A 12,951-nucleotide genomic window follows, 5' to 3' on the forward strand; every position below is an offset into this window, starting at 1 on the left:
ATTATGATGCTTGTATTATTATTTAAAATATTGTGTGTTTCTAGAGGGAACCAGGGGGTTCTTGAGACCAGATTTTTGTGCAACTTGGGCAAAAATACTAGATTCCGAGAGTTTGTAGAGAAGATTGAGTTGAAGGAATGGAGGGTTCAGTCAGGTCAAAGACAAGATCACACATTTATTGGAATGGCAATAAGCCTCAAGAGTTGTAAGGGTAGAGTTGTTTAGGACTAGTAGATACTAGTTATCTAGGGTATTGAGTTTCTTTTCCCATTAGTATTCTTTTCTCTATTGCCTGGGTAAGAACTTTACCACCTTTCAGCCTCCTAGCCCTTTCATCTATTTTAACGAAAAAGAACGCTGAGTTGGCCTGAAAAAGATCAGGGCATCTAGGCTTTACCCTGACTCTTCTGCTGACTTGTGTGACATTTGACTTCTTTGAACTTAGGTTTTTTCATCTGTAAGGTAGGACTGTTTAGATAATTTCTTAAATGTTTTCCATCTTGAATTCCTTATTTTTGCGATTCTCACAAATGAGCTTGATTTTATTTGCTTCCATTCTGTTCTGTTGGTTCTGCTCTTTACCTCAATCTGTGTCCACTGGTCTCAACCCTCTATTACTTTAATGTAACTGAACTGTTTCCCAAATTACTCTGAATTGTAATCCGAGGATGGGAATTCCATTGACTGTACTCTGTATCGGGGAGAAATACTTCAACAAAACAAAGTAATAACCCACTCTTTCTAAATGTCAAATGTTTTCAAAAACAAGATATTAATTGATTAGGAATATATAGTATCAGACACTTTTTTGTATTAAAAGGACAATATAGTATTAAGTAGTATACTAATTTTTACTACATTCATCATATCTATAAGGCAGTATTAGGGTTGGTTCTTAACATGGATTATGTTATGTATTTTAGGGCTGGTAAATTTTAAAGAAATTTCATCTCTAGCTTTGTTGCTGTTATCCTATTCATTCTTTGGAAGGATATTATTAAAACAAATGAAAATTTTTATCTTCAAACTGATAGTGGAGTTAAATTAACATTAAATATTTCCCCTAAATATATACTTATCAGAGCAAACATGTAATTTTACTGAATACTTGTACAGGTACACATACCTTTAAGTCAGTATAGTGTAACATTATTATAAGGATGAATGTTGCTTACTGTGCCCATTATTTTGTGTCCTTTTCTGGTAAGTTTTTTTTAATAAAAAGTTTGCAAAACACTTTTCAAACTAAAACTCTTATCAGTTTGTAAACTAAAATTTTTCTTTTTTCTTTTTATTTTTATTTTATTTATTTATTTATTTTTAATTGATCATTCTTGGGTGTTTCTCGCAGAGGGGGAGTTGGCAGGGTCATAGGATAATAGTGGAGGGAAGGTCAGCAGATAAACAAGTGAACAAAGGTCTCTGGTTTTCCTAGGCAGAGGACCCTGCGGCCTTCCGCAGTGTTTGTGTCCCTGGGTACTTGAGATTAGGGAGTGGTGATGACTCTTAACGAGCATGCTGCCTTCAAGCATCTGTTTAACAAAGCACATCTTGCACCGCCCTTAATCCATTTAACCCTGAGTGGACACAGCACATGTTTCAGAGAGCACAGGGTTGGGGCTAAGGTCACCGATCAACAGGATCCCAAGGCAGAAGAATTTTTCTTGGTACAGAACAAAATGAAAAGTCTCCCATGTCTACTTCTTTCTACACAGACACGGCAACCATCCGATTTCCCAATCTTTTCCCCACCTTTCCCCCCTTTCTATTCCACAAAACCGCCATTGTCATCCCGGCCCGTTCTCAATGAGCTGTTGGGTACACCTCCCAGACGGGGTGGTGGCCGGGCAGAGGGGCTCCTCACATCCCAGTAGGGGCGGCCGGGCAGAGGCGCCCCTCATCTCCCAGACGGGGCGGCTGGCCGGGCGGGGGGCTGACCCCCCCACCTCCCTCCCGGACGGGGCGGGTGGCTGGGCGGGGGACTGACTCCCCCACCTCCCTCCCAGACGGGGCAGCTGGCCGGGCAGAGGGGCTCCTCACTTCCCAGACGGGGTGGCTGCCGGGCGTAGGGGCTCCTCACTTCTCAGACGGGGCGGCTGCCGGGCGGAGGGGCTCCTCACTTCTCAGACGGGGCGGTTGCCAGGCGGAGGGTCTCCTCACTTCTCAGATGGGGCGGCCGGGCAGAGACGCTCCTCACCTCCCAGACGGGGTCGCGGCTGGGCGCCCTCATATCCCAGACGGGGCGGCGGGGCAGAGGCGCTCCCCACATCTCAGGCGATGGGCGGCTGGGCAGAGACGCTCCTCACTTCCTAGACGGGATGGCGGCCAGGAAGAGGCGCTCCTCACTTTCCAGACTGGGCAGCCAGGCAGAGGGGCTCCTCACGTCCCAGACGATGGGCAGCCACGCAGAGACGCTCCTCACTTCCCAGATGGGGTGGCGGCCGGGCAGAGGCTGCAATCTCGGCACTTTGGGAGGCCAAGGCAGGCGGCTGGGAGGTGGAGGTTGTAGCGAGCCGAGATCACGCCACTGCACTCCAGCCTGGGCACCATTGAGCACTGAGTGAACCAGACTCTGTCTGCAATCCCGGCACCTCGGGAGGCCGAGGCTGGCGGATCACTCGCGGTTAGGAGCTGGAGACCAGCCCGGCCAACACAGCGAAACCCCGTCTCCACCAAAAAAGTACGAAAACCAGTCAGGCGTGGCGGCGCGCGCCTGTAATCGCAGGCACTCGGCAGGCTGAGGCAGGAGAATCAGGCAGGGAGGTTGCAGTGAGCCAAGATGGCAGCAGTACAGTCCAGCTTCTGCTCGGCATCAGAGGGAGACCGTGGAAAGAGAGGGAGAGGGAGACCATGGGCCGTGGGGAGAGGGAGAGGGAGAGGGAGCGGGAGAGGGAGAGGGAGACTAAACTAAAATTTTTCTAAGCGAGGCCCATCTTTTTTCTTTGCTAGTAAAATTAGTCAGTACTTATCCATGTTCAAGTTTGTCATGGCTTAGAAAAAAAGATTAAGCAAGGTCAAAAGGCAACATAAAGAACTTAAGAAAGTAGTGCTCTTCCCACCTTCCCAAGGGCTGAGTAGGACTTACTGGGCCAGGTGTTAAATTAGTTAGCAGGTAACAATTAAAGGAGCTGGAAAATAATTATCATAAAATAATATAAAATTGGAAGTAATTCTTCTCAAGAGCTAGGTATTGAAAGGCAGTGGCCTTAAGAACTCAACAAGTAGGGTAGCTTTTACTGTCTAAAAACTTTAGGCTGGGTGTGGTGGCTCATGCCTGTAGTCCCAGCACTTTGGGAGGCTGAGGCAGGCGGATCCCTTGAGGTCAGGAGTTTGAGACCAGCCTAGCCAACATGGCAAAATTCCATCTCTCCAAAAAATGCAAAAATTAGCCAGGTGTGGTGGTGCACACTTGTAGTCCCAGCTACTCAGGAGGCTGAGGCGGGAGTATCACTTGAGCCCAGGTGGTCGAGGCTGCAGTGAGCCATGTTCATGCCACTGGATTCAAGCATGGGCAACAGAGTGAGACACTGTCTCAACAACCCAAAACACAAAAACTTTATATAGATAGCCTTGCTTAAGAATTTCTAATTTTGGCCAGGCTCCGTGGCTCACGCCTGTAATCCCAGCACTTTGAGAGGCTAAGGGTGGCCGGATCACCTGAGGTCAGGAGTTTGAGACCAGCCTGGCCAACATAGTGAAACCCTGTCGCTACTAAAAATACAAAAATTAGCTGGGTGTGGTAGTGGGCACCTGTAATCCCAGCTACTCTGGAGGCTGAGGTAGGAGAATTGCTTGAACCTGGGAGCGGAGGTTGCAGTGAGCTGAGATCGTGCCACTGCATTCCAGCCTGGGTGGCAAAGCGAGACTCTGTCTCAAAAAAAAAAAAAAAAAAAAAGGAATTTCCAATTTTAATTAAGGAGATACACTGAAGGTTATCAATACGTAATTATGCATAGAAAGTAGACTTTTTATACTTCCCAATTAATTTCCTATGTAGTTTTTATATCACTTTATATAAAAAAACTGAAAATTACTCTGTTAGTAACTAATTTGTTTTATGAATGATACATAATTTGAAGCATAATTGTAATTTAAATGTTTATTTGAAACATTAGCTTACTAATAAAAAAAATTGAGACATATTTAAAAACACCCAATTTAGTTGGGTTAATCCACTGTAACTGTTTGATTGCAGATGTTTTCCCACACTGATGGGCAGCTAACTGAGGTAGTGCTATCCAGTACAGTCAACTTTCAATTATCTGTGGTAATGGGAAATGACAATGCATGGATAATCCTAAAACAAAATATTTTATACAGTACCTTCCTGTCATCTGCTGTGGCCTGAGCATGTGCTTGGGTTCATGAGGGAGATGTGGGAGTGGGGCTCAGGCTTGCAAAGGAGCTGGGAGTCAGTATGATTATCTCAAGGCCATAAGAGGTATCCTTAAGGAACCTGGGTTTGGCACTGTGTGGCTGAAGTGTCATGGGGAAAGCCTGCAGCATGCAAGATCAGCTTGGCAATATCAGTGAGAAGGATGGGGAAGCTAATTAATAAGGAACTGTGGGAGAATAGTTGTTTATTAAGTCCTATACAATTGCAGTGATATATCTTGGTGTGTTTTTTGGTTAATGGGATCTGTAGCAAACAATAATTATATTAATTGTGTATTTGAATTAGTTTTGGTCATCTTTGATTGCTAGCAGAACACATTTTTTACTTGCCACAGGTGAGTGCTGTTATTGAGGTCTCTTCTAAATAAGTAGGTTTATTGTCATATAACTAGTAACTTAAAAAACCCAGAATAAATTTGAAATACTTTTCTTACTTTTAAAATTCATCCTAAATATCAGTGTTGAACTTGTACTTCCAAAATTTAACTTAATGAAATTTAACATTGTAATGTCAAAGAATATCATGAGGGCAAATGCCATAATTACTGATACTGTGAATTTGATGTAGGAAAAATATAGTAGCCATATTTTATTTAAGAATATGTTACAGGAGCTTTCCTAAATTTCTTTTACAACTGACAATTGTCTACGAATTTATGAATGTTAAAGCTGCATGATAGATGTGAGGAGGGAGTGTTTATTATTCTATCTAATTTGAATATGCTTATTTTCTACAAGTGAAAGCTATAAAAAAATTGAAGCAGATGATTGCTGAAAACCTTAGAATCTTCTGGACCAACCTGAGAATCTTCTGCTTGTTTATGAAATAGATTTAGTGCTCTCTGTCAAATTATTCAAACTCCAAATAGAACCGTAGCCATTTTCTAAAGGCATGTTTTCTTCTGCCCACAGGCAATACTGCAGTTCAACCCCGTGTGGTAGTATGATGGCAAGAATGCAAATTATACCGTTGTTAGATTACCTTTATTATTATAGATGTTTTTTAAAAGTTATTTACTTAAAATATCTATACTTAGGCAAATTAGAGGCGTTGATCTTGAGTCGACTTTTGTGACCAAATTTGGAAACAATTGCAGTTTGAGATTGAATGAGGTAAGGGACCAGCTAATTAGTCCTTCCTCTATAGATCTTTGGTTCTCAACCAGGGAAGTTTTGCCCCCAAGGGGACATTTGGCAATGTTAGACATTTTTGGTTGTCACATCTCATGGTGGGGGAGTGCTACAGTTATCTACCTGGATGCTTTTCTATATTCTGCAATCCTCAAGACAGCAGCCTTCACCCCTGCCCACAACAAAGAATTATCAAGCCCAAAATGTCAATAGTGCCACTGTTGAGTTACCCTGCCCCTAGTGTTTCTAAGATGTAGGCATTCTTTGAAGTAGACAATTAAAAACATCATATAGCCAAACTAAATTATTTTGACTTTCTGTATACTTATGCTGTTTAAAAAACATGCCTTCAGTTTTTACTGAGATTTGATATAAAAAGCAACAACAAATATATTTTTAAAGAATTTAATCCTGGGAAACATTTCACTTTCCTGATGAATTGATATATTTCCTCGTAACTCATTATGTTTCTATTTTGCCTTCTCTCCCTGGAGGCTTAGTGCCAATTTTTTTGCTCTATTATAACAATGACCCTTTATTTTAGGCTTATTGTTATCTTTCTATTTACTGTATTGGTCTTCCCTTTTTTTTTTTTTTTTTTTACTGTTATGGTCTATGGGTTTGGGCTAAGTGTGTGTTTGTGTGTATATGAAGAGAACATGTGGGTAATATGTAAATGTCCCCAATCCCTAGACCAAGTCACATCTCTATAAGATCAAATGAACAGATTTCTAATTTATATTTTAATGCTTTTTTAAAGTCTCAATTTTTCAAACAAGAAATATGTGCTTGTTATAAAATATTACTGTGTGTTAGTGTAAATAATAAGTGGAAGATTACTTCTCCCTGTTCATTCTCTGGAGATTTATTAATATTTCTAGTATGTGCCAGGCATAGTGGCTCATGCCTATAATCCCAGCACTTTGGGAGACTGAGGCAGGAGCATTGTTTGAGGTCAGGAGTTCAAGACCATCCTGGGCAACACAGTGACATCCCATCTCTACAAAAAATAAAATTAGCTGGGCATGGTGGTACATGCCTGTAGTCCTAGCTACTCAGGAGGCTGAGGTAAGAGGATGCTTGAGCCTAGGAGTTCAAGACTACAGTATGCTATGATTGTCCCATTGCACTCCAGCCTCTGTGACAGAGTGAGAACCTGTTGCAAAAAAATGTATATTTATAGTATGCAGATGTGAAATAGAAGCTATAAGCTTGTAATTCTGTTATGGCTGCTCAGGTTTACACTCTTATAGTTTCATTTCTGAATAAGTTAAGTACATTTCTAAAAACTGAGGAGAATAAAAACAATGTCTTGAGGATTGTGTTATCTGATGAACCTTTTATTGATCTGACGAAGACCCATTTTATAAAAAAAGTGTCATATTTTATTTTTTGAAGCATACTTGATGGTATGAAATGGTATTTCTAGCCCATACTTTTAATGATTTAGAATGACTCACTAAACTTTATTCAAGGCCAGTACATTGGCTTACTCCTGTAATCCCAGCACTTTGGGAGGCCAAGGTGGGTGGATCACTTGAGCTTAGGAGTTCAAGACCTGCCTGGGCAACATGGAAAAACCCCAACTCTACAGACAGTAGAGAAATTAGGCCAGCATGGTGGAACACGCCTGTAGTCCCAGCTCCTTAGGAAGCTCAGGCGGGAGAATCATTTCAGCCTGAGAGGTCGAGGATGCAGTGAGCCATGATCGGGCCAGTCCACTCCAGCCTGGGCGACAGAGTGAGATACTGTCTCATAAAAATAAAATTTAATCCAAATGTGATTAATTTCCATTTCTCTAAAGTTAAAAATTAAGTGAATTCCAATATCATCACTAATATGCAAGCTTAACTTTTCTGTTACAGTTTTCCCAAGCAGTTGAAGAGGAAAGCTATTCTCATAATTAGCCTAACATGCGTAGAAAAGTTTAGAGATTATTTTTTTTCTTTTTCTTTTTCTTTTCTTTTCTTTTTTTTTTTTAAGATGGAGTCTCGCTCTGTTGCCCAGGCTGGAGTGCAGTGGCACAATCTCGGCTCATTGCAAGCTCTGCCTCCTGGGTTCACGCCATTCTCCTGCCTCAGCCCCCCAAGTAGCTGGGACTACAGGCACCCGCCACCATGCCCGGCTAATTTTTGTATTTTTAGTAGAGACGGGGTTTCACCGTGTTAGCCAGGATGGTCTCGATCTCCGGACTTTGTGATCCGCCCACCTTGGCCTCCCAAAGTGCTGGGATTATAGGCGTGAGCCACCATGCCTGGCTGAGATTGTTTTTTTCTTGAATACTTAAAATTGTAAGATTACTACCATGGTTAGTTTTTTATTTGATGTTCCATTTATACATTCGTTAGCTCTGGAACATATAGATCCTGTTGTTTTTAAGGTCTCTTGGTTGTAGAGAAATAAGAGGCTTTGAATTTGTTTCAGGCTTACCTCATACTTGAGGCAGTTTAGAAGGATAAATGATCAGTGTTCAGATTTCTTAAAGCAGTATTTTATAATGTCATGATGATTATCTTTTCACTGTTACTACCAGGTTCTTTTAGAAAGGGGAAATTGAAGTAGGACATTGAAGTGGGACTGGGGAGGAGTTAGCAAAAAATGTGTCTGTTGATTGCTGCTTGAGCCAGGAATTGGTGGTAAGAGATGTGAACCATTTTAGTGAAGTGATTTTTCAAACTCTTTTGACTGCGACACACAGGAAAAAATTTTTTTTACGTTGTATTCAGCACATAATTCATGTATATATTTATATATATAATAAACAGACTTTTCAAGAAACAGTATTTTACCTTACTATGTGTACATGCAGTCTGATGTTTCTGTTCTATTTGATTTGAAATAATTGCTGCTTACATACCACTAAATTGCAGCTTGCAGTTTAAAAAATTTTGCTTTAGTGTACTAATTACCTGTGTATGTGGAGAAATTCACCCTCTGTTAGCAAATAGAAGATTGTAATTACAATACATTCTTACTCGTATGTCTTATGTGAGCATTTAATAAATATAAATAAATTAATGAAATATTTTACAGGCATTTTGTCATGATAAAATATAAGCAGCTTTGCCCAAGCAACTTGGTCTTTTGGGGTCAAAAAATGGCTTTTTTGTTTTTTGACACAGGGTCTTGCTCTGTCACCCAGGCTAGAGTGCAGTGGTGCATTCATGGCTCACTGCAGCTTTGACCTCCTGGACTCAAGCAGTTCTCTTATTTCAGCCTCTCAGTTAGCTGGGATTACAGGCATGTGCTGTCATACCCAGCTACTTTTTGTAGAGACGGGGTTTCGCCATGTTGCCCAGGCTGGTCATGAACTCCTGGGATCAAGCAATCTGCCCACCTTGGCCTCCCAAAGTGCTTGGATTACGGGCCTGAGCCACTGTGCCTGGCTTTATTTTTAACATTATATTTCAGCCCTCTTTCTTTTTAAATAAAAAGATGTTTAAACATGAATAGAAATTATACTAATAGGTCATTAGAAATGTAACTAGATTAATTTCGGGGGCTTTCTTAATCACTATATTAGTCTAAATCTTAATGGAGAGGGAAAAATTAGCATGCTTTAACCCAGGGGTTGGCAAACCTTTTCTGTAAAGGAGCCAGCTAATATATACTTCAGTTTTTGTGGGCCATACCATCTCTGTTGTGGCTCATCTCTGCCATTACAGTGTAAAGCCTAGACAGATAAGCAAGTGAGCGGCATGGCTGTATTCCAATAAAACTTTACTTATGGAAAAGCAAATTTGAATTTTATATAATTTTCACGTGAAGGTTTTTTTTGGTTGTTCTTTTCTCCAAACATTAAAAAATGTAAACACCACTCTTAGCTTGTGGGCTGTAAAAATCAGATGATGGGCCAGATTTGGCCTGTGGGCCATGGTTTACCAGCCCTTGCTTTAACCTAAAAATGGAGAAAATCAGTAGTCCAGAAGAATAAAAATTTAGCAAGCATAGTTTAGAATATGAGTAGCAATATTAAATCTCTAGGCATATATATTTTGATTTTTGTGGATATTAGAACTATACATTTTTGTGTTGTTTTTTACATTATATTTTGCAGACAGTTGATATTCATAAAGAGAAAGTTGCAAGAAGAGAAATTGGTATTTTGACTACCAATAAAAACACTTCAAGGACACATAAGATTATTGCTCCAGCCAACCTTGAACGACCAGTTCGTTATATTAGAAAACCTATTGACTATACAATTCTAGATGATATTGGACATGGAGTAAAGGTAGGTATAATTTTTTTCAAGCTTTTAAAAGTAGTAACCCATAATGAAACCAACTCTTGAGAAAATTAAGCTTTTTATCTGTCTTTCTTTCCTAGAGGACAAAGTCTTGGCCCAGTTGTGGTTGTGAAGATTCCTTGCTACTATAACTGTTTTACCCTTTTTGCTTTTTCTTAGTGATGTATTCTCAAGTTTTAAACAGTCATCTTTGAATGAATTATATTTGCTTGGTTATGATAATACCTCCTATGGTTTGAGTAAATAAGTGTCGTGTAATCTTTCCAATTTTAATTTAATATGACTGATTAAAAAATCATTCATCATGTTATTATGAAAGTGTTTACCTTATCTCAAGTATTTATCAGCAGACTTTTGGCATTAGTTTTCAAAAACAAGATATATTAATAGACATGTACTTTGAATTTTTCTAAAATAATTTTATCCCAACATTTTGGGCAAGAATAGTGTTAGGTAAAAGTGATAGGTGAATTAATATTGCCACTGCTTTTGAGTGTGTAGCTATTACATATTTTGGCTGTCTTTTAAGATGTATTTGGGTGCCTAGAACATGCAAATTTCATTTAAATTGGTGTTTGAACTTAATGATTCAGAGCTTTAGCTGAGTATTAATTTATGTCTGATCAGTAGTTTGAAAGACAGTGACTTATCAGATGTGACTAAATAAATATACATGCTTATAATGATACTGTACAGTTCATGTAGTTGATTTTTTTTCTAATATAAACATACTTAAAAAACACTGTTATGGATGGAAATCAGTTAAATCTAAATTTAATGGAGATCTAGGTAAAAAGAAAATATACACTGTAAATTTATTTTTAAAATCTCTTTGTCTTCAGGGTTTTGATGCAAGCACTATTATCTGGAATATGATATTTAATTTAACTTTTTTGAGACAGGGTCTCACTCTGTCACCTAGGCTGGAGTGCAGTGGCACAATCATAGCTCGCTCCAACCTTGTACTCCTGGGCTCAGGTGATCTTCCCTTGTCAGCTTCCCTGGGACTACAGGCACGTGCCACCATGCTGAGCTAAATTTTTTGTTTGTAGTGACAGGGCCTGTCTGTGTTGCCCAGGGTGGTCATGAACTCCTGTACTTAAGTGATCTTCCCACCTTGGTCTCCCAAAATATTGGGATTACAGGTGTAAGCCATCGTGCCTGCCCAATATTTAATTTTATAGCCAATACCTACATGCATTTAGATTACTAATAAGAGCATGTTAAAATAAGATGTGTAATTGGATGGTTAGTTAATAACTGAAATTTCTTCTAACTTGGGAAAATTTATTCAAGGCTAACAACTGCTAATGGAATATTTTAGAATACCTCTAGAATCTAATGCCAAAAAGACACTTAGAATATAAAAGATGACATTTGTGTTTGCCCAATTACATAAGAAAAAAGTAATCCCATTTTTTTAAAATATATAATTCATAGGTTTACATCCCCCATTCTTATAATCCTCAAAGTAAAATGTTTTTCTTTCAGGATTCTAGCCCCTTCATTTTTTGACTTTCAGTGTTTAAGGGTCATTAATTTGAAGAAATCTTTAATACAGTTAAATTGTGGAATAAAACAGTATCTTAAATTCATCAGAGAAACTTCTGTTCATGACACATTCTGCTTTAACCACTCTTTCTATGATCTACTGAAACATTATTTTGTTAATGCTGAATGCTTAACTTGTTTTTTCTTTTTTTCCTTTCTCTTCACATCCTGAAGTTTCAACTAACCTTTCAATGCTTTTTTTCCTTACCTCTTTTATTTGCTCCATTTATGCATTAAGTGGTTGCTTAGATTTAAGGTAAGAGATTCCAGGGCTGGATTTCCATTCTTTGTTCTTATGTAGAATATTACATATGGGGAGTTAAAGAGATTGTTAACTCTTGGCCTTTTAAAACCCAATAAATAATTCCTCCTTTTTGTTTTATTTTTTGTCATGCAACTTTGTGGTGTGTCTTCATGTTCCTTGAGGGCAGATATTTTTGTCTGTTTTGTTCACTGCTCTATCCTTGTGCCTAGAACAGTACCTGACACACATTAGGTGCTTAGTAAATATTTGTTGAATGAATGGTTATTTTGTAATGTTAATATATTTTGTGAAACTGAAATGTAAGCTACCCTATCATAAAAATGTTATGAAATATAATTAGCTGGATTTTTATAAATATAGAGACTTTGTTATGAATTGGAGGGCCAATTAATGTACTTTATTTAACCCTCCCCCTGTGTAATAGCCTTTTTATTCTATAAATGGTATGCTTTCTGATATACCTTATGGACAATATGTCATTATCTTTTAATCAGTATAAAGAAATTGAGAAGCAGAAAATATTCAGTGACACGGGTTTTTTTTTTAAGTTGCAGTATCATATTTTGTAGAAAAATTATTCTTTTTTCCAAATAGCTGTATAAAGAATATATTTCAATATAAACTGTAAGAGCTTTTAAAGGTGAATATAATTATATGCAAAACATCAAAAGCTCATGATAATGTTTAACAGAATATCAGTTAAGAATTAGAGATATTTCCTGTTAGAATTCGTTTCAATAATGTTTTGGTATCGTGGAGGATTCGTGATAAAAGAAATTCAACTATATTCAAGAAGCCTGCCTAAAATACAAGGTTACTACAATTATATACAAAACTTAGCATGCATTTCTTCTTTGATTTTTTTTTGTAGGTGAGTTTTATAGTTTATTTTCAAATATATATTCCTCCCATCTAATACCCATTATTTGCCATATCTTTAGTGTAGAAAGTGATGACAAGATGACTGAGCTCTGAATCATTAACTAGTACTAACTAAGGCCACACAACTTTCCCCTGCCCGTGGTAGGTAGATTTGATTGGAAGAGCCCAGGCATATGGACACCTGTATTATTGATTGGATTGTTGGTTCCAAATCCTCAGTCATGGTGAGTAAGATGTGGAATTGTGAAGAAATCCTTTTGCTTGAAATAGGTGGGTTGCAGTGAACTAGACCAAAAGCAGACTGTGGCTGCTTTGGCCCTTTTACCCTAAAGTCTGTATTCAAATTTTGACCATTGATGTGTTAACCTCCAAAGTGATAGAAATACACGGAAAGTTTAATTGAAGAAAAAATACAGAAACACACAGATTCTTTACCCTTAAAGTTTAGACTAGCTTGCCCAAGCTACTATCTCATGCT

At 38.6% G+C, this 12,951-nt stretch overlaps 1 protein-coding gene across 123 annotated transcripts in view; it reads left to right on the forward strand.

Annotated features, from left to right (window-relative positions):
- Window positions 1–12,951, forward strand: part of ABI2 (abl interactor 2) — a 103,776-nt gene that overhangs the window by 42,231 nt on the left and 48,594 nt on the right. For 57 of the 123 annotated variants that reach the window (NR_164705.1, NR_164715.1, NR_164708.1 and 54 more), the window contains one exon: window positions 9,584–9,760. The exons of 7 other annotated variants lie outside the window; for them this stretch is intronic. Coding sequence is in view for 104 of the 116 variants with exons in the window: in NM_001375666.1 (NP_001362595.1) it covers window positions 9,584–9,760 (177 nt within the window). In the remaining 12 variants the exon portion in view is untranslated. Of the gene's footprint in view, window positions 1–5,307; window positions 5,509–9,583; window positions 9,761–11,564; window positions 11,583–12,618; window positions 12,698–12,951 lie in introns of all 123 variants that reach the window. 59 more of the 123 variants (NR_164713.1, NR_164712.1, NM_001375719.1 and 56 more) reach the window with 7 other exon arrangements.

This window comes from Homo sapiens, chromosome 2 (genome assembly GCF_000001405.40).
Source record: "Homo sapiens chromosome 2, GRCh38.p14 Primary Assembly".
Classification (NCBI taxonomy): Eukaryota; Metazoa; Chordata; class Mammalia; order Primates; family Hominidae; genus Homo; species Homo sapiens.